At 38.5% G+C, this 22,307-nt stretch overlaps 1 protein-coding gene across 26 annotated transcripts in view, besides 2 other annotated features; it reads left to right on the top strand.

Annotated features, from left to right (window-relative positions):
• The window catches only part of AUTS2 (activator of transcription and developmental regulator AUTS2), a 1,195,032-nt gene that overhangs the window by 660,882 nt on the left and 511,843 nt on the right, over positions 1–22,307 (top strand). The window lies entirely within an intron of this gene.
• Positions 7,493–9,754: an enhancer, noted in NCBI's record as "VISTA enhancer hs2318". NCBI's record gives its function as "enhancer in: neural tube[4/4] | hindbrain (rhombencephalon)[4/4] | midbrain (mesencephalon)[4/4] | forebrain[4/4]" and the evidence as "EXISTENCE:transgenic organism evidence [ECO:0001131][PMID:17130149]".
• Positions 16,371–16,430: an enhancer, noted in NCBI's record as "active region_26108". NCBI's record gives its function as "activates an Ori minimal core promoter by ATAC-STARR-seq in GM12878 lymphoblastoid cells {active_cell/tissue: GM12878}" and the evidence as "EXISTENCE:reporter gene assay evidence [ECO:0000049][PMID:35858748]".

The raw sequence follows: 22,307 nt of genomic DNA on the forward strand, positions 1-22,307 counted from the left end.
TTTTCAGTTCTTAAACTTGATCATTGATATGTTCCACCTCATCAAAAAGAGGAGTGCAGCTAAACTGACAATCAGTTCATGCCATTGGCCTCACTCATCATCATGTCAAGGACCTGGCATGCCCATTGAGAAGGGCCTCTGTGCATTCTGTCCTCACCAAGCCTAATTCCTTCCCCTGTTGATGGTTTTGCCAGATTCTTTGCCTGTTGATGCCCATGCCAGGGCCACGGTGCTTATGCCAAAGCCTTTGACAGAATGAGTCAAATCTGGTGCCAGTCACCCTTGGCATATGCCACCTTGTTCTTGACCACTTCCTACCAGGGATGGGCTGAAAAGAATAGTGTCTGCTAAGAGCTTGTAGAGGACTTTTCTGTTAAGTGCTAAGTGTTGACATTACTCCAGTTTGAATCAGATCATTTGGAACTCTTGCTTGGATCTCTCAAAGCTGTTGACTCATTTGTATCTTGGCCTCACATTAGTGGGGTAGATAGGAGCCAAAAAGTTTGAGTGAAGTCAGAATAAATATATTTTAAGTGTGGATCTGTGGAGAAGAAAGAGGTCCCAAGAGCATAATGAAAACTGTGGTTAAAACTGTGAATCAAGAGGTTTGTTTTAATTTGCCATTTTCTTACGAAGTTTTAAAATATTTTCTAATAAAGCTTCTTATTTATTGCCTTAGTACATTTTCTGTTACTTATAACAGAATACCTAAAACTAGATAATTTATGGCCAGGCGCGGTGGCTCACACCTGTAATCCCAGCACTTTGGGAGGCTGCAGCAGGCGGATCATGAGGTCAGGAGATCAAGACCATCCTGGCCAATATGGTGAAACCCTGTCTCTACTAAAAATACAAAAAAATTAGCCAGGCGTGGTGTTGCGCACCTGTGGTCCCAGCTACTCGGGAGGCTGAGACAGGAGAATTATGTGAACCCAGGAGGTGGAGCTTGCAGTGAGCTGAGATCACGCCACTGTACTCCTGCCTGGGTGACAGAGCAAGACTCCATCTCAAAAAAAAAGAAAAAATACTAGATAGTTTATAAAGAATGGGAATTTATTTCTGCAGTTATGGAGGCTGAAAAGTCTAAGGTAGAGGGGCTGGGGCTGCATCTGGTGAGAGGCTTCTTGGTGGTGGGGACTTTCTGAACAGCTCCAAGGCAGCACAGGGTGTCACATGGTGAGGGGGTGAGCATGCTAACATGCTAGCTCAGTTCTCTTCCTTTTCTTATAAAGCTACCTGTCTCTCAATATTGCTGCATTGGAGATTAAGTTTCAACACGAGTTTTGGAGGGGGCATTTAAACGATAGCATATATATAGTGCAGCAGTCCCACTCCTAGGTATTTACCCAAGAGAAATGGAACTATATGCTTACACAAAGACCTGTACCCTTTTTACACTTTTTTTTTTTTTAAGACAGAGTCTCACTCTGTCGCCCTGGCTAGAGTGCAGTGGTGCAATCTCGGCTCACTGCAACCTCCGCCTCCCGGGTTCAAGCGATTCTACTGCCTCAGCCTCCTGAGTAGCTGGGACTACAGGCACGTGCCACCACAGCTGGCTAATTTTTGTATTTTTAGTAGAGACAGGTTTCACCATGTTGGCCAGGATGGTCTCGATCCCCTAACCTTGTGATCCACCCGCCTCGGGCTCCCAAAGTGCTGGGATTACAGGTGTGAGCCACCGCGCCCGGCCAACCTGTACACTTTTTGTAATAGCCAAAAACTGGAAAGAAGCAGTATACATTACTAGGTGAAAATTACAGCATATAGAGATAATGGTTATTTCTAAGCACAAAAAAGAATCAAACTGATATTCCTAACAACATGGATGAATTTCAGAAACATTGTGCTAAGTAAGAGAAGGCACACACAAAAAGGTACATACTTAATAATTCCACTTGTGTTAAATTCTAGAACCAACAAAACTTATCTGTAGTAACAAAAAGTAGTTCCATGTTCACCTGGGTGCAGGGGTGGGAACACTGGCTACAGAGTTGCATGAGGGAACATTGTGGGTGATGGAAATGTTGTTTCTTGATTGTGGTGGCAGTTATATAGATACAGACATATTTGTCCAAACTCATCAAACTGTATACTTCAAGTGGGTACATTTTTTCTTTTATGTGTATTATACCTCAAGTATAATGAAGTTGATTTTAAAAATATATTTGTTGTAATCCCACTTTTGCCACATAAACAGGGTCCAGAGAAATATTAGGTATTCCTTCTCTCTCTCTCATGTATATCCTGATCAAAACATTTATATGAACATATTGAAATCAGATTTAAATATCAGTTTCCCTAATGGACTCAGCTGGACTCAAGTTAATTGACTTAATAAAATTTCGAATCTCATTTGTTCCTATTTTCTCCTCCCTACAGTTGTTATCTTTACTGTTATTTGAAGGACTTGAATAAGTGAATTTTGAATTCAGATAATACACTATAGGGAGTAGGAAAGCAGACCCCTGGCCTCAGGAGCGCCTCTTTGATCATGAATGTCTATGACTGCCATTTTGTTCTCTAGATTCATGTCTTTATATTGTCTATTTGGCTTATAGTTTTTTCTATCACCATTTTTGTTTTCAACTGTTTTTTCACTAAAAGACAAAATTTGATTTTCATGCTATTAATTTCGTACTAAAAAGAGCACAGCAGGCATAATTAAAGCATTTTAAGATGTAGTAATTTGATTTAAAATATTTTACTAAGCGATATATTACAAAAAGTTATTTAATTATCTGTAAACTTTAAAAGCAGGTATTAGCATTCTATGGCTATTGTCTTTAATAATTACATTTTAATTTTAATTTTAGTTTTTTAAATGTATGTTTCTTTTTGTTGTTGTTGTTCTGAGATGGAGTCTCGCTCTGTCACCCAGGCTGGAGTGCAGTGGTGCGATCTTGGCTCACTGCAACCTCTGCCTCCTGGGTTCAAGCAATTCTCCTGCCTCAGTCTCCGGAGTAGCTGGGATTACAGGCACCTGCCACCACACCCAACCAATTTTTGTATTTTTACTAGAGACGAGGTTTCACCATGTTAGAAAGGCTTGTCTCAAACTCCTGACGTCAAGTGATCCACCCCCCTCCGCCTTTTAAAGACCTGACATCTTAGTTGTTACTGTGAAATTGATTTTCTTGTTTTCTCCTCATCTTAACCTTGTTTTATATATCAAAGTAAAGAAGAGGAACTGTTAAAACTTATATGAAGTATGGCTGAATCTTCAAAAAGATATCAAATATTTAGAAACTAATTTTAAGCTGCATATGTTTTATGAATGGTAGCAATACAATTTATAACTGTCATTTCTGAAATCTCCGGATTTAGGTCTCCATTGCCAAAAAATGTAAAAAATAGAATTATGACAAGTGATCTCTTGAATTAAAACCAAATGTTTTTGTATTACAATACCTGTGATGATGATTCCAAACAGGCTTCTCTTTAATAAGTGGCCACAGTAGAGTCATGATGTTAGCCCTTATATTTATAATGAGGACAATTCTGGGTCACCAAGGGCCTGGATATGGGACCCTTGGGGCCCACTGTGATATTTATGGACATGAAATACAGTCATAGGCCATTTATCAGATTTATCAAATTTGGAAACTTCCAAATAAATTAATTTGACAAATATACATAAACTTCAGTAAATTTTATTAGTTTTATTTTTTGCCCTGTGTATTTGCATAAATGTTACTAGGAAATATATTTAATAAAAGTAGAAGGATTTTTTTTTTTTGCGTGATACTCAGCTATATTCTTCCAATAGTTGTGGAACAGCTTAGTGCCTTCAGCAGTGGCAGTCTCCTAAAACGATTGTCTATCAGTTAAAGGTTAACTGAGTATTTGGACCAAGTAGCAAACTAGAATTCTTTTCATCTAATCTCTGTTTAATATAGGGATATCCAATATAACATCCTTGGGTCAGTGTAGTACATCTTACGTTAAGTTTTGTCTCTAATGAATATTTATATTACATAAATGGGAAAATTGGTGGGTTCCCTTGGTAGAAACATGATATTGGTATTTTTAAAGTAAACTTAAATAGGTCAGAATTTTTATCCTCTAGAGAAAATTTCACGTCTGATTAAATAGTTTACATAAACTTAATCTTTTTCTGCTAGATGCATTATAATCTCAGATATTATTCATGTAGCTATTCCTCTGTGAACCATAAAATGTTCATTTCTTCAAAATGAATATGAAGCTCAAAGCATTAGTGGTCTTAAGAGCATAAAAACTTTATTACTTTGTGCTTCACATTTTTCAAGTGACTTTGGAAAGCCGAAACAAATTTTGCATTTAGATTAATGGAAGATGTTTTCCATGTGAAGGAACTGGCAAGGGAGCAACAATAACAAAAATCCCCCAAGGTTAAAAATGTAGTGCTTTTGATTCTTCCCAGAACTGTGTTAGCAGAACAATCATTTCTCAGCATGGAAAGGTATCATAATTGGTCTATACAGTGGCAATACTGAAAACGAGTATGCTTCAGAGAAAGCTAATATGACTCTACTTAATAATTTCCTTCAAGAGCCTGAATTTGAATGTATGTTCCACCCAGCTTGAGGCAAACAATTTGTTCCTATAAGTTCTAGTGGAAGTTACCGGGGGGTCATGTAATTTATTTTTGTCTTGAAGTTTTCAAAACTGTGTAGAAATAAAGACACGTTTACTTGCATTGTTCCACTAGTAATTTGATCCAATTGGCAATGCTCCTTTCTCTTCTTCTCAATTCTATTATGTTGGAAGAGTGGAAGCGTTCATAAAATGTTGTGACAAACAATTCTTCCTAGAGACGTTTCCTCTTTCTGTTTGAACCTCTGATCCACTTGCGAATGTTAGCATTCTTTTTGTTTGTTTGTTTGTTTTTGAGATGGAGTCTTGTTCTGTTGCCAGACTGCAGTACAGTGGCACGATCTTGGCTCACTGCAACCTTCACCTCCTGGGTTCAAGCGATCCTCCTGCCTCAGCCTCCCGAGTAGCTGTGACTACAGGCATGCACCACTACACCCAGCTAGTTGTTGTATTTTTAGTAGAGAGAGGGTTTCACCATGTTGGCCAGGATGGTCTTGATCTCTTGACCTCGTGATCTGCCTGCCTCAGCCTCCCAAAATGCTGGGATTACAGGCATGAGCCACTGCACCCAGCCAAATGTTTGCATTATTTAGTAAGTGGTTTTTTATTATGGGTCTTTACTTACATGTGCTGTTATTGTCCTTTTCACTGGGATTATCTAGGTTTTCAATCTGTTTCTTTGTATTAATTTTTTGGCTATGGGACTAGTTTTAAAGCCCTACCACAGAAGTAGAGGGTCTGTAGTTGGAGTACGGTGAGTAACATGAGAGAATGTTTCCTTTTTTTCCTTGAAGAATGGATAGTTTTAGGGGAATGTGTGCAGATGTCAGAAGATGGCTACATAGAGAATGAAGCATCAGAAGGTAGACACAGGTCTCTGCATTGCAAATATCAGTAACAGGGATGAAGAAAGAACAGCAAAATTTTTAGAAAAAGTGTAAAGGATGGTTAGACACTTAGACCCTCTCTTTTATAAGTTTGATTGTGTACTTCTAAGAAGCAGCAATAAGTTGAAGGTAAAGTTATCTCAATACTCTGATAAGATGTGGTCTCTGGATTCATACCAAACATTAGAGTTCAAGGCATTCCCCTTCAGTTTATTTTATATTCCTCAAATGTATCTAATTCCTTAGGATTAATGATTTGTTTCTCTTAAAAACAGCATTTATTGCTTTAATCTGAGAAAAAAATAAGACTTCCAGTGTTTATATCTACAAACACAAGGATTGAAAAAAATTTTATAATCAGCCTCGCTGCTAATTCTTATAGGTGAAGCAATGACTTAGAAGAATGGGGAGACTGGAGTACATGATAGTTTTGTAGACAGCCACAGTTGGCAAAAGATGGTGGTGAGGCTGTCCCCGTTGTAAATCCTTTATCTCCATGAGAGCAACTGTTGCTGGCTAGTTTCTTGTGAATTAAGTATGCAGTTTGTCTTTTTTTTAATGTGATAAATGAACGTATTTTCTAACTGGCTATTTGCTTAATAAAAATGAGTAATATAATAAGGAATTAGGGGAGCATTGGAAAGATAATCACTGGGAGGTGAGAAAAAAAGTTATCTCTCTGCTTCAGTCCCTTATTCTCATCTTTATAGATCAGTTCTCCCAGTGAGAAGCCAAATGGGATGTCATTCTTTGTTTGTTTGTTTCATTAATTCTTTGCAATCTATAGTAGGACTGTTGAGGAGAATGTATAAACTGCAGGTTACCAGCAGGTGGAAGGAGGGGAATGAGGGCAGGTGGTCCATAAGCAGAAATATTAATTCTTGACTGATTGGGACAGTGAATATTGACCAACATTGAAAACATTATATTATGGTCTTATTTAGGCCTGAACACTGACAGCCAGTTGACAAGTCTAATTTTTTATAACTTAAATGTGGTTCATTTAGGAAAAACTGCCATCAAGGGCAATTCAATTCTATTATGACAATTAACTCTGACTTTGAAGTAAGTAGAATAAATCAGTTTATTTCTCAGTAAGGCCCAAATAAACTGAGATTGTTGTGAAAATTATGCAGTTTGTGACTACAGTGTGGATGTTGTGTGTTGGGTTGTGCAGTGTACAACCTGCAAAGCTGTATGAGGCAACCTGGACATTCTACTCCTAGCTATATACCCAAAAGAAAATACATGTTTCTACAAAACCTTGTACAGAATGTTTATAGTACCATCATTCATAATAGCTAAAAAGTGAAAACAACCCAAATGTTCATAAACTAATAAGTGGATAAACAAAATGTGGTGTATCCATAAAGTAGAATATTATGTAGCCATAAGAAAGAATGGAGTACCACACGTGCTACAGCATGGCTGAACCTTGGAAACATTATGCTAAGTGAAAGAAGCCAGACACCAAACGGCACATACTGATTGTATGAGTACATTTAGATATGAAATATCTAAAATAGGTAAATCCATTGCCAGTGGCTGAAATGGGGAGTGATTGCTTAATGGGTATAGGGTTTTCCTTTGGGGGTGATGAAATGTTCTGGAATCAGACAGTGGTGGGGTTGCACAACCTTGAAAACTACTGAAAACCCTGTGAAATGTACAGTTTAAAATGGTTAAAATGATACATTTTATGTTGCATAAAAGAACATTTAAAAAAATTAATCCAGTGGGGTCTGATGGCAAATTGACATGAGGGAACTTTTTTGAGGGTGATGGAAGTGTTATCAATCTAGATTAGAGTGATGGTTGCACAACTGTATAAATTTATAAAAACTCATCAAACTGTACTCTTAAAATGTGGGTGTATTTTATGGTATGCAATTATACCTCAATAAAGCTGTTTAAAAAAAACCCTCTCTGAGTCATTACTGAAATCAGTGCCATTTTCTGAATTTCAGAAATATCAAAGGAGAGCTTTCCTAGTGTGAATTTATCATAAATAATGTTTGGTATTTTTTTTCCTTTGACTTAACGAGAGCCTGAGATGCAGAAACAAATCTGCACTTCCATGTTGTGTTACCCGCTTTGGGCCATGGCCCATTTGCCAGTTGCAGATTGCCTCCTTGTCTGAAAATGGGTGTGTTTCTTCATAGTAACTCTCAATTCTATTGTTGGTGACAGCGCAATAATGGAACTTTCTTCTGTGTGGATAAGCCCCTTCAGTGATATTTGCAAATCAAATCATATCTGCTTTTTGTGCTACATTGTCCTCAAAATCTTCTGATTGGTTTGGTTATAGACATCCCTATATCAGCTTTCCTGTTCTCTTTCAGTTTAAATATCTGTATGCTGTAGCAAATTGCATTATGAAATCCTCTCACATTTATCGCTGTTTAGTGCATGGAAATGGCATTTCCTCATTACCAGTCAAAGATAAACTCTAAATGTTTCTTTTTTTTTTTTTCCTGAAGTATCAAATTATGTATTCAAAAAACTTTTCTCTATAGCATTATTTCTCTGAGCTGTTTCTTTTTTCCCTCCTGAATGCTGACACCAGATGCAGTCTGCATGGACATTAGTCCCAGGGAAATCTTGTCTTCTACCCAGGACAAGGAGATTATAGGAAGCAATGCTGACTCTTGTTGTAGATTCACAATGTGCTGACACGATAATAGGACATGAATGGGCTTTTGGAATGCCTTTTCCTTTGAGCTGGGCTGAGAGGGGGACAGAGGCAGACAGCTCCATGGCCTGAATTTCGTTAGCTGTGTGACAATGGGAGAGATAAGTAGATGTGACAGTTATGAATGATCCTCTGTCATGCACTTTCACGTTCAGATTCAGATAAACTGACACTGCTGTCAAACACAAGCTATGGAGAGCTGAGACCTCTGATGAACCTTCTAATATGGTAAATGGGAGTCTTAATTCTTCATTAACTGAAAAAAGGAGATTTGGCCATGTAATTTTCTCCTTGCTGCCTGTTTTAAAGATTCCAATAACCCAGCATTTACAGTTGACTAGGCAGGGATTGCTTTTCCCCCCCTACACTTGCAACATGCAGACTGTGAAATCTGAGGAAACGCTGCTTAAACCCAGACTTATTGCCTTGGTTATCTTTAATGACTTTGAAATGTATTGGCCTCATTATGGAACAGTGCAGTTATCAATTCCTCTAATTAGGTGATGTGCTCCCATAAGAAATTTAACATTAAAGCACAAAAATGAACTCGTTAGAGGCATCTATTGCTGGGAACTTCAGTATCAATGGTGAATTGAAGATACTGTGTTTCGTTACCAACTCTTCTGCACCATACATCTGACTCCTCCTTGAAGACTAGAGCATGGGCATTTTTTTCTTTTTCCTTAAGGGTTTAATCCTCATATAGCACCTCTAACACCTTTGATGACATTTTAGTGCTTCTGGATAGTAAACTGTGTGCCTTTGACTAAATCGACTAGGAGTCTAGGGAAGGGAGGAGGTGAGCAGTTTACATTTAAATGCTCCACATATCAGCCCATCTTTCTTTCTTGGAATTTAACCCATGGCTATTTACTCTTTCTTATGTAAGTCCAATAAACTTCCTTTCTATAAGTAGCTTAGTACAGTCTTTGTTTTTATCACGATAGGGACCATTATTTGTTTATTAAATAGTGATGCTGTTTCACTCATAAATATTTCAGCTGTATTTCTAGAGAAGTAGGATGGGGTTTCTGGGTTTAGGCTTCAGTGAAGGGACTTTAAGTCTCTTAACCCTTCTTTACCTCAATCATCCATCTGAACAAAAAAAATCATTATAGCCTCCCCTTTGGGGAAACTACATAGTTTAATTAGTGTTTTCTAATAACTTACAAATCCTTAGAGAAAAGTTATAGTAGAAGCATAAGAAATTATCTTTGGGGTTAGTTTATTATTATTGCTATTATTATCATTATTACTATATGGGACTAGTTGTTTTTTTAAATTGGCTACTTGAAAATGTGTTTCAGATCTCATGGAGTGAAATTTACCTTTCATTTACCTTAGGGCTCAAATAAGAGTATACTGAATATAAAAATATGGAACACTAATTTCTTTAAAATACCTGAACCTATTAATAGCCAGGAGTGTTAACTTCGTCACCTGGAAGAAGATCCTGTCCTAACTTGAAAATGTTAGAATGAAAACCTTAATCGTCTCCTCTCAAAGGGTCATTGAGGAAGCTGGGCTTGAGTCTGTGCAGCTGTTCTTCAATAATGTTATATCATTCTGAACCAATTATCATCCTTAACCCAGATTTGCTTTGAATCTCTGTGGCATCTTGACTACTGTCTATAACAACGGTGATTGCCAGACACTGCCTGATGCTCAGGTTTCTATCAATCCTCTTCTTCTCCTCACAGCAGGTAGGAGCTTCTTGGTGTTCCGCTCCTTACCCAGGCTTGAGGAATAGTCCTACTTTTTGCCATGATGCCTTGCTGCAGTTCTGGCTCTTCCCTTGTGCTGTTGTTCTCTTTGTCATGCAGGTTTCCCAGTATCTTAGTAGAAGCCTTGAACAATTCCTATTACCTTTTCAGACCTTCCTTCCAAGAACTGGGGGATGGGGGTGTTCTGGTCTTGTCACAGGTGGGTGCCACATGTAAGGACCCACTGGTTCATGGGATTCTTTGAGAGAGTCTGACGCTCACTTGTCTGGGTTAAAAGTCTGGTGCTGACACCTGCTTTCTGAATGACTTTAAGCAAGTTATTTGACTTCTCTTTGCCTCAGTTTCCTGCCTACAAAATGAAGATAATAGCGCCTGTCTTATCAAGGTTCTTAGAGAAGATTAGATGCATTAACACATGTAAAGCACTTAGAACGCTTTAAGTCACATAGTAAGCATTAATAAATATCAGTTGCTAACAGCTTTTGCTTCTGCTCTGTTACCATTTTACTATCTCACCTCTCTCATAGCCCATAACAGCAAACCAAACTCTTTGGCTCTTGGTAGATATATTATTCTTAATGTTTGAGCCCTACTATTTGCTATTGCTTCCTTTTTTACTCCTATAATGTGTGAAATTGAAATAAAAAACAGAATTGAGGCCAGGCACAGCAGCTTGTTCCTATAATTCCAGTGCTTTGGGAGGCCAAAGTGGAAGGATCGCTTAAGCATAGGAGTTTGAGGCTGCAGTGGGCTATGATAGCACCACTGTACTCCAGCTTAGGTGACAGAGCGGGACCTTGTCTCAAAAAAAACAAACAAAAACAGAATTGGTCACCATGATATTAAAGAGCCATGAAATATATTAGCATGTCTTTTTTCTGCCTATCCCCTCTATCCTAAACATTCCATGTAGTCTTGGGAAATAAATTCTTTAAGGTAGGCCAGTTATTATGAATATAACATGATTATCTATTGTGTTATGTTTACTGGGTTGATGCCAAGGAAAAATGAATATGGCAGGTCCCAGCAAATAACAACAACAACAAAAATAGTATTGTCTACTATTTCACAGAGGGTGTGGAGTTAGTATTGGGTTTTGAAGGATGAATAGGAGTTTATCAGATGAGGAGGATTGAGAAGAGCATTCAGGGCAAAGGTATGTGGAAAAATTGGTGTGGTAGTACACGCCAATCCTGGGACCTTCAAGTTGAACATTTAGGAGTGTAGTGTTTATGTTTCAGAAGCAGAGGATGAGTGGAGAGGGCAGCAATAGAATGGCATTAAGACCCTTGTACAGTATACTAAGGAGTTTGGACTTAATCCTGTGGGCATGCAGGACCCTTTGAAAGATTTGCAGTGGGAAAGTGATCGGATCTGATTTGCTAACTCATTGCAATGGCTCTGTGGAAGAATATCTTGGAGAGGGGTTCAAGACTTGAGCCAGGGGACATATCAAGTAGTGTTTCAAATGCTAACTACCCCCTCCTGCTTCTCACATTGCTAAATAGAGTGCAGCAGAATGAGGTGTACTTCTGAAGACAGGTTTTTGAATCAGCTTTCCAGCAGTCCCTTGAGTACATTGAGAGGGTGCATGGAGGGAAGACATATCATCTTTACCCTGCCCTCTCCCCATGTTAATCTATTAAAAGAGATGGGAGCAAAGCTGCTATCACATTGGGCTTGACTGAAGACAGAAGTCCTTGAGCATCCTTCCCCTGAGTGCGGGCAAGCCTCGTGCTTGCAGAGGAGAGGAGATTAGAATAACATCTTCACTCTTCGGTGAGAGGGCAGGCAGACCCTCACACTAGATGGTTCCACCCCGGAGTTCAGGCTTCTCCTGACAAGTGTTGCGAGCATCTGATGTCCTTGGCCTCTCTTCTGCACTGCTTACCTTACAGCAGTTAAGCATGAGGGCATTCTGTGTCTTCCTTTCTTTCCCTTCAGTTGCTTAAAGAAGATGAGAATTTGCTTTAAAGAAAAATATTAATAAATCTTTATAAAATGGCATTAAATAGAAAATCTCACACTCTTTTCTTCAGAATGCTTTTCTTCAATTGCCATTGTATCTTTTTGCCCCTTCCAAAGTCTTACCAATTATTATTAATATATATTATCATAATTACTTGTAGAAAATCAATAGAATTGCTTGTCTTTATCAGCAGTGCTACCTTTCTACCTCTCTCTCCCTTTTCATCCTCTCTTCGTCTCTTGCGAATTGTTGTTTCTGGGGGTATTATTATTGTAATTACGGAAATTGATAAAAATACCATGACAATTTCATGCCTCAGAATTATTACACAGGGTTTATAAAAAAAGATTATTATACATCAATGCAGTATTTGTTATTCCTAAATGATTATTCCAGAAATACTAATCAAAAACATCTCCCTGCAGAATAGTACTGTGGCTTTAATATCAGCTGCTGTTTCTTTGAATGGGGTTGCCCAATCTTTCATCAAAGAAACACATCACCCATATCCCTGTCTTTAAAAACAGCAATTATGTGTAAATGCCTCCTGATTTATTTGAGCCAGGGCCACTGGCCAGTATGAGTCACCACAATTTATTGCTAACCGTCACTTTTACATGATAGGTCTGTAACAAATATCTGCCGCATATTGTTAAATTAATCTTCCATTTAAAATTAATGGAGTTAGACTCCCCAGGTTCAATGTAATTTCATGTTCACGGGCAGGGAGGGATGTGTGCTGCATACAAAATGAGACAAGGCCCAACGCCCTAATCTTTCATCACCTTGAACCTGGAGACTAGGACGCGTCTCAGCACCAACTAATGAGATTGAGCCTGCGTCTCTCCTGAGGATGCCGGCTCAAAGAGGCTTTTCTGCTCAGAAATAGCAGGCTCTGTCTTATTTTAATAATTCCTCAGATATGACAAGTCTGATGTTATGTATGAAAGAGCCAGGCTTGAAAAAGAGATAAAATGAATTTTATATCATTACTTCAAAACCAAACCAAGGGAAGTGTGTTGTAGTTAAATTAAAAAAAAAAAAAGATAGGACACATTTTAGTCATGAAATATACTGACTGTAAACCAGGAGTCATCCTTTCATTTATTTTAATGCACAATCACCTTAGATTTCTCTTCTGTAATTTTTAAACCTATTCATGCGTTAATCAAAATAATGTGGATGAAAGCAGGAGCTTGTTCAATAAACATTTAGATGAAAATATCAGAGGGGACATGTAATTCCTGATGGGGTATGTCATACTGAACCTCTGAAGTCCCATCGCTTCTTTTGGTGGCATCTTTTGAAAATGCATCTTTTTTCTGTGTACCACTAACCTATTACTGTTTAGTCTCTTAGACTTTAAAAATGCCTAAGCCAAATTACTCAGGGGTATTGGGTTCTCTCGTTTTTTTTTCTGTCTTTTTCACAAACCAGGTAACTATTTTGCATCCATGGAAAAGAAGGTTTTACAGAACAGATTTCGGCTCTCATACATCTATAGTACTTCTGGCAAATGGTTGCTGTTTTTTTGTTTGTTTGTTTGTTTGTTTTAATTCTTAGGGAGGACTGAGCCCCAGAGACAATGGGACCCTTTTCCTAGGTAAAGAAAACGTCTCTAGAAAGACACTAAGTTAAGAGCCAGGCAAGGTGGTGCACACTTGTAGTCCCAGCTACTTGGAAGGCTGTGACAGAGAATTGCTTGAGCCTAGGAGTTCAAGACCAATCTAGACAAACATAGCAAGACCTCCAGATAAGGTAAACTTCCTGGTTTTTAAAAATTCTGTGAGTTGAGTTCTGCTTCCTCAGAGGGGAATTCTAAGTATCTGCACTTTGTGTCTGATTTATTTATTTTATTTTTTTGAGACAGGGTCTCACTCTGTCTCCCAGTCTGGAGTGCAGTGGCACGATCTTGGCTCACTGCAACCTCCACCTCCTAGGCTCAAACAATCCTCCCACCTCAGGAGGGAGCTGGGACTACAGGTGCCTGCCACAACACCTGGCTAATTTTATATGTTTTTGTAGAGACAGGATTTCATCATGTTGCCCAGGCTGGTCTTGAATTCCTGGGTTCAAGCAATCTGCCGGCCTCAGCCACTGTGCCTGGCCTGTGTCTGATTTATAATACAACATATGATTGATTTTAAAGCTCTTTTTTGTGATTTGTTGTAATTTGGGACCACAATAATTTTTTTTCCAACCCCTTCTTCAGACATACATAATAAAATTTCTAAAGAAGTAGTATTGGTATTATACTACCTATAGCTTTTATTATTATTATTATTATTATTTTACTGGCATTCTATAACTTAGAATTCTATTTTCTTACAATCTTTGTATATTTAAATGAACATTAGGGATAGAAAAAATGTAAACTCTAATACAAGAATCAAGTATAGTCACTTAATTGACACGTGCAGTTTTAAAAATTATAGTCACCCCTTGGTATACTGAGGGAATTGGTTCCAGTACCCCCTCACCTTCACCCCCATATATATTCAAGTCCTGCAGTGGGTCCTGCAGAGCCCTGTGTATGAAAAGTCGGCCCTCTGTATGTGTGGGTTTTGCATCTTTTGAATACTGTATTTTAAATCTGCATTTGGTTGAAAAAAGTCTGCATGTAAGTGGATCAAAACCCATGTGGTTCAAGGGTCAACTGTGTATCACTTTGATAGGCTATTTATAAGAGAAGATTTTAAAAATATTGCTCCATGTCTGTACTTGAATAAGATTTAGAAAATCTTAGGGGTATTTTAGAACCAGATAAATTAGTAAAAATAATGATACTGTAAATTGGAAAATAAATGAATAATAGTAGGGCATCTTTCTCCATGAACCTGAATTGCTTTGCTTTCCTCTCTTTTGATGTCTGTAAGCTGTTGCGTTTTGTACAGTGGGCCTCAGGGTGCTTCGTGAGTCCCAAATACCAGATTTCTTTTTCTCTCTTCTACTTATAGTATATTTGCCTTAAGTTCTTGATATTTTCTTCTGCCCTCTTTTCTTCTTTTAATATCTTCAGCATTTTTCTTCTTTTTTCTTTCTCTCCCTCTTTCCTTCCCTTAAAAGGGCTTCTTTATTTTATATAGAAACTCATCTTTTTTTGTTTTGAGACAGGGTCTTGCTTTGTTGCTCAGGCTAGAGTGCAGTAGTATGAATCATGACTCTACTGCAGTCTAAACCTCCCTGGCTCAAGCGATCCTCCCACCTCAGCCTCCAAAGTAGCCTGGACCTCAGGCATGCACCACCATGCCCAGCTAACTTTTGTATTTTTTTAGAGACAGGGTTTTGCCATATTGCCCAGGCTGGTCTTGAACTGAGCTCAAGCAATCTGCCTGCCTCAGCCTCCCAAAGGGCTGGGGTTACAGGAATAAGACACTGTGCCCAGCCTTCAATTTTTTTGTTATTGTTGTGAGTGAGTGAGTGAGAAAGAGAGAGAGAGCGCAGGTTGATATGCTCAAGCTTAAGGTCTGTAATGGGTTTAAAGCTCCAAGTTTTATAATCGGAATGGTAGAGACGGAAAGGATCTCTGATCTAATCCATCCTCCATTTCATAGGTAATGCCATGGAGGCCTGAAAAGGTTAAGGTTCTCAAAGATCAAAAATGTATCCTTTTGGAAAGTATTATAGTGGTTCCTCAAAAAAATTTAACAGATAATTACCATATATGATTCAGCAGTCACACTTCTGGGTATATAATCGGAATTAAAAACAGGGACTTGGACAGATACTTATATTCCAATGTTCATAGAAGCATTATTCATAATAGCTAAAAAGTGGAAACAGTCCACATGTATATCAGTTTGTAAATGAATAAATAAAATGTGGTATATCCATAGAACAGAATATTGTTGTTACTTTTGTTTTTGAGTTGCATTTTATTCTGTCACTGGGGCTGAAGTACAGTGGCACAATCACACCTCGCTGCAGCCTCAAACTATGGGGCTCAAGAAGTCCTCCTGCCTGGTACTACAGACATGAGCTACCATGCTCAGCCTGGAACATTATTACCTAGCCTTAAAAAGGATGATAATTCTGACAGTCTGCAATACGAATGAATCAATGTAATTTGAAAACATTATGCTGATTGAAATAAACTACACACAAAAGGATAAATATTGTGGGATTTCACTGCTATGAGGTACCTAGAGTAGTCAAACTCACAGAGACAAAAAGTCACCAGGAACTGGGAAGAACAGTGGGATAGGGAGTTACCCATTCATGGGCACAAGGTTTCATTTTGGGATGATGAAAAAGTTCTGCAAATGAATGTTGGTGATGATTAATAATGTGAATACTCTTAATGCCACTGACCATATACTTAAAAATGGTTAGAATGGTAAAAAAAAATTTGTATATTTGCCACAATAAAATACACAGACACTGGTATGATTTGGCTCTGTCCCCACCCAAGTCTTATCTCAAATTTTAGTTCCCATAATCCCCATGTGTTGTGGGAGGGATCTGGTGGAGAGAATTGAATCATGGGGGCAGTTTCCCCCATTCTGTTCTTGTGATAGTGAGTACTCACAAGGTCTAATCATTTTATAAGGGGCTTTTTTCTTCTCTGGGCACTCATTCTTCTCTCTCCTGCCACCTTGTAAAAAAGGATGTGTTTGCTTCCCCTTCTGCCATGATCGTAAGTTTCCTGAGGCCTCCCCAGCCATGCAGAACTGTGAGTCACTTAAGCCTCTTTCCTTTATAAATTACCCAGTCTTGGGCAGTTCTTTATAGCAGCATGAGAACGTATTAATACAGACACGCACACATTCTTTTATTACCTGAGAAAATTTCTGGCAATTAGTATGTCTGTCCTCCTCTGCCTCCATCTCTGTAGCTAACATTTGGACATTCCTCTGTTTCAGTTTCAGATTTGCTCTCATAATGTTTTTGAATGTTACATCTTTCCCTTTCTTATTTCAGTTTTCTTTTTTTCTGACATTGAGTACGTGCTTTGTGATAGTCACTAGAGATACAAATAGCTCAGAATCAAAGAAAGAGTGTACATGAAGTATTTTCAAGAATATGCCTATAAAATATTCAACGATTTCTCAGAAAATATCAATTGTAAAATAAATAAAATACAACAAAACTTTCTTATTTGCACAAATGCGTAAAGTACATGTAGTCTAATTTAAGTAGTTTTTATTTTTTTTCTCTAAAGTAAATTTTGTGACTTTTTTTTTTTTTTTGAGATGGAGTCTTGCTCTGTCACCCAGGCTGGAGTGCAATGGTGTGTGTGATTTCGGCTCACTGCAACCTCTGCCTCCCGGGTTCAAGTGATTCTCCCACCTCAGCCTCCCGAGTAGCTGGGATTAGAGGTCCCAGCTACCACACCCAACTAATTTTTGTATTTTTAGTAGAGATAGGGTTTTGCCATGTTGGCCAGGCTGGTCCCTAACTCCTGAATTCAGGTGACCTGCCTGCCTCAGCCTGCCAAGGTGCTGGGATTACAGGTGTGAGCCACTGTGCCTGGCCCAATTTTGTGACCATTTCATATAATATTATAAGTATTCCTTTACTAAGGCAACCTGTTAATATAGGTCTCTCAGTTGCAGGCTTTTCTTATTCTATGGATTGACTAAGAAGCCCCCAAAAATCCTTATGAGGAAAGATAGAGTCATGTGTCATAAGAGAAGGCTAGTAATAGGCTTGAGTTTCAAAGAAAAGAGTTTATCAGACTGAGGAGTAAAGAACGTTGGTAACTGGCCTTCAAAAGATAGTTAAGATTGCATCCGGAAAGATGTGGGGAAGGGGATGTAAAATGGATAGCAAGGCAGGATAGCAACAGGGCATTCTTGGAATAGACAACCATCCATTTGTTCTCAGTGTGAAATATACATGGTTTTGTAATGGGAATTAAGGCCGAAATGGCATGTCAAGGCCAGTAGTTGAGAGCTTTGTAGGTCACATTGAAGAGTTTGTATTTGGAGTTTGATGGACTCCTAGGATGGATCTGTCCAGTGGACAACTGGATTTCAGACCTAGGAGAGCCTCTATAGAGGTATTAATTGAAGCCTTTGGATGATCGAGATTGTGAAGATAGAATATAAGACAGAGCCTCTTGAGCATTTCTCCCTTAGTGAGAAGAAGGTGGTGATACACAGAAGGAACCTTCAGCAAGGTGAGAATGATAGATAAAGGATGGACTTTCCCCAAGAAACCTGGCAAGGGAGTGATCAGGAGTGTTAATACTGTCACAGAGACTTTAAAGAGGATCACAAATGAGGGGAAACCTTGGATTTTAATCTTGACTCTTAGTACTCAAGGAAACTGCATGTTAAGATGTGGTAATTAAAGTATTAAAATATTCTAAGGGTCCCTTGCACTCTCCCTTTCTGTGCCCATTGTGACAGCATGGTCACATCATTGCTTGAGGCATGCAAGAGTGCTTTATTGAAGATAGTATTACGGGGGGAGATTTTATTTTGATAGAGAGTAACAAATAGACTAATAATCTATCTTAAAGTAAGTATCTTAAAGTCAGTAGGCAAAGGAGAAAAAAAGATATTGATAAGGAAAGCATCTGCAGGACAGATTCTAGATTTCTGTTTTTTGTTGTTGTGTATGTCAGGGCCCAGACTATGTAAATGATAGGGCAAAATGTGAGTAGCAACATAGTCTTATTAGAAACCTAAATATCTACAAAGAGAGCAAAAAACTATCAAGTCAAGAATATGTTACCCATTTTAGTAAAAAGGTTAGATTTCATTTGCCTTGTGTATTTGTGTGTGTGTGTGTGTGTGTGTATGTATGTATGTGTGTGTGTGTGTGTGTGTGTGTATGACAGTACTGTATTAGGAATGCTTAGTAGGCATTTGGAGAAGTTTTGGGTGATTGGTAACATGAACCATTCTTCCCTTTAATCTGGTGCATCTGAACATATTCCTGGGCAGAAGGTATACCTGTGCACATTACAGACGTTTGTGGGTACTTTTATTTCATTATCCTCAAGCAAGAATACGAGATTGCTATATTCTACATTAGACCAACTTGTTCTTAGCAAGCACAGAATAATAACCTTTCAGTGTGAATGTTTGTACATAATAGTAGTAGGATGTATTTTGTGGTATTTTTTAAATGAGGATTCATTTTAGGCTTGGCACAGTGGCTCACGCCTATAATCCCAGCACTTTGGGAGGCTGAGGCAGGAGGATCGCTTGATTGAGCCCAGGAGTTTGAAGCCAGCCTGGGCAACATAGTAAAACTTCATCTCTACGAAAAGTACAAAAATTAGCTGGGTGTAGTGGCACATACCTGTGGTCCCAGCTACTTGGGAGGCTGAGGTGGGAGGCTTGAGCCTGGGTGGTGGAGGCTGAGTGAGTGAGAGTGTGTCACTGCACTCCAGCCTGGGTGACAGAGTAAGACAGTCTCTCAAAAACATACATACATACATACATACATACATACATACATACATACATATGTACATGCATACATACATGCATACAAATGAGGATTCACTTTAAAAAGCATTGAAATGTAAATATCAGCTATACCTGAATGTTTATAATTTAAAGGTAAGATTGTCATTAAAGGAAACCTTAGGAATTTCTCAGACATACTGAAAATCAGCCCGAAAGTGTTTTCTGTTGTTTGGTTGTTGTCGTTCTTTTAGGATTTTATGGAGTACTCTCATTACTTATCACTTAGACCAAAAGAGAATGTCAAACTGCCAACAAAGTTGTTTTTTCTACATTTCTACTAAATAATGTTAAGTAGTCAGGTTCATCTTTGGAAGGAAGATTCTTAAGTGCTTTGGCCTCCAGTAGTTTAGATGAGACTTCTTAAAACTCAAAATCATTTTATTGGAAAATGCTTTATTTTCTGTCTTTGTGAATTATATTTATAATAATGCATTTAATTTAGGCCTTGGGATTTTGTATACCTTTGGGTGGGCCTCTTCCTCTTCTCCCCCTGCATCTCTAATAAGCACTGAATATCAAATTGAAACCATGATATTCTGAAATCGGAAAGTTTCTGCCTTTTGCAGCTTATTTGATGGGAATAAAAATGACTGATGGCACTCTCTCTTGGACCCTTTTGTTCAACTCACCTATGATTATGGAGCCTATTAGCTGGAGTTACAACCTATTTAAGAGCAGTGCTTACCAGTAATGGGGGCCAAATGATTTTGGAAAGTTCAGATGTACTGGACTCCCTGCAGAAATGAATTCAGCACTGAACATATTGATGCAGAACCCGAACGAGGCTACTCCAGTGGGACAAAGAGAATTGTGAGCTCTGCAAGAAATGAGTGGGTAGTAGAATTAAAGATCAGATAGATGTTCGGCTCAAGGGCAGTCTCAGCTCTTAAGTTCATCACAGCAATTTAATCAGGCCCAAATGAGCGTTGCCCAGAAAGGAATCAGCCTTCGGTGTGACAGGAAATGGAGTTTATTTAAAAGATTCTTTGTTTCTAGTAATTGTGTGTTAAGGTTTTCCAAGTCTACACTAAAATTACGGAACTACTACATTTGATAGGTGATAGCACTTTGGTTTACCTTGGTTCAGAAGATGTACTGTTGAGAAGATTTATACAAGTCATGATCTTGTCCAGAAGGAGCCTGCCACCTCAAAAGTTCCAGCTCTATCGTCTTTTGGATTAAGTAGGCCAGAGTGCATCTTTGGCTATAGCTATCTGATGCCCCCTTCCATTGTAAAATTATTTTCACAAAAATATATTTGTCTACAGTAAGAGTTATATAATATAGCAGTAAAGACCACAAACTTTAGAATGAGGCACACCTGGGTTGGAATCCCACCTCCTCCACTTGTTAGCTATATGACCTTGAGCAAATTACAACTGTAGTTGAACACATAGTTCTTTACTTACGAAATGAGAATAATAATTCCTGCCTCACAAGATTATGGGGAGAGGTCAATTAAATGATGTAGTATGTATCAGTTGCTTCACAATGTCTGCACATAATAAGGGCTCAATAAATAGTAGTTACAGCTCTAGAGCTCTCTCATCTTGTCCCTCACCTCATTTGCCCACTCCTCTACTCTCTTCATGAGCCAGAGTGTTCACTGCTTTAGGAATAAGTGAGGGAAACTTTTTTTTTCTTTTTTCTTTCTTTCTTTTTTTTTTTTTTTTCCGAGACAGAGTCTCGCTCTGTCCCCAGGCTGGAGTGCAGTGGCACGATGTCAGCTCACTGCAACTTCTGCCTCCCGGGTTCAAGCGATTCTCATGCCTCAGCCTCCTGAGTAGCTGGGATTATAGGTGCCCGCCACCATGCCCGGCTGATTTTTTTTTTTTTTTTTTTGTATTTTTAGCAGAGACAGGGTTTCACCATGTTGGTCAGGCTAGTCTCGATCTTTTGACCTTGTGATCCACCTGCCTCGGCCTCGTAAAGTGCTGGGATTACAGGCGTGAGCCACTGTGCCCGGCCAAATAAGGGAAACTTTTTAGAGGATCTTTGGCTTCAGTCATGGAGAAAAAGAAGAAACTATAAACACTTGGAGGTCTGAACAGTTCATTGATTGTTAAGAACCCAAACAAAAACACTCCGTCCCCAACCCCGACACAACAATACAGTGGGGTATTTTGGATTGACACATTATTAGCCTGGAAACCTATATTGACAGCCAGGTTATGATTTTACACATGTAATAAGAAGAGTCTATTGGTTTTTCTTCTTTGTTGCTCACTAGTTCTTAAGTTTGCTCACTAATGTATAGGTATTTTTGTCTAACACTGACAAAATTTGAAAAGAAGTATAATAAATTTATTAGGATTTTACTTCTCTCCTTCATGGACCTGGCAAATAGTGTATCTATGTCTCCATACCCATATCCACGTTCTTATTTTTTTTATCTGTATCTATTATCTGTCTCTGTGTGTGTGGAAAGTGATAATGAATGAATGAATGAATGATAAAAGATCCAAACTATGAACTTTATGGATATCGGGGTAAACATCCAACAATCCCTTAAATTTGGTGCACTCAAGTAAAAGCTGAACTGGAGAGAGTTGACCAGATCCTCTTAAAGTTAAGCTTTTTATCCCTCTGCCCATAATTTGTACCTTGAGATCCTATAGGGATGTGCCTAGGCCTGTGTGAATGGCAGCCTCATCTATGCTGTACCTGCAGTACAGACCAGCCTCATCTGTGCTTTACCTGTAATACAGAGCGAAACATATCTAGAGAAAGAGATTAGTTTGCAATTAGGGGGATCCCACCCATTCCACAGCTTGGCCCAGTGGAGGTTCCCTGCTTTGATCGTCTCTTGGTGAAGAGAAGAAGAGACAGCAAGTGCTGTAGAAAGTTTTCTTCTTTGTAGTTAAAGTGATAGGGTGGAAACAGGAGCATAGAAAAGACATTCAGAGAATAGAAAGTGACCAACCATTTGAAAACCTAAAGGAAGACCTGGGTTCAAACATTTGTTAACATACAGAGAAGAAAAATATGATCTGTTTGGGGTATTACAATCCAGTGTGTATTTTCTATCATACTTAC

The sequence above is a fragment of the Homo sapiens genome, chromosome 7 (assembly GCF_000001405.40).
Source record: "Homo sapiens chromosome 7, GRCh38.p14 Primary Assembly".
Lineage (NCBI taxonomy): Eukaryota > Metazoa > Chordata > Mammalia > Primates > Hominidae > Homo > Homo sapiens.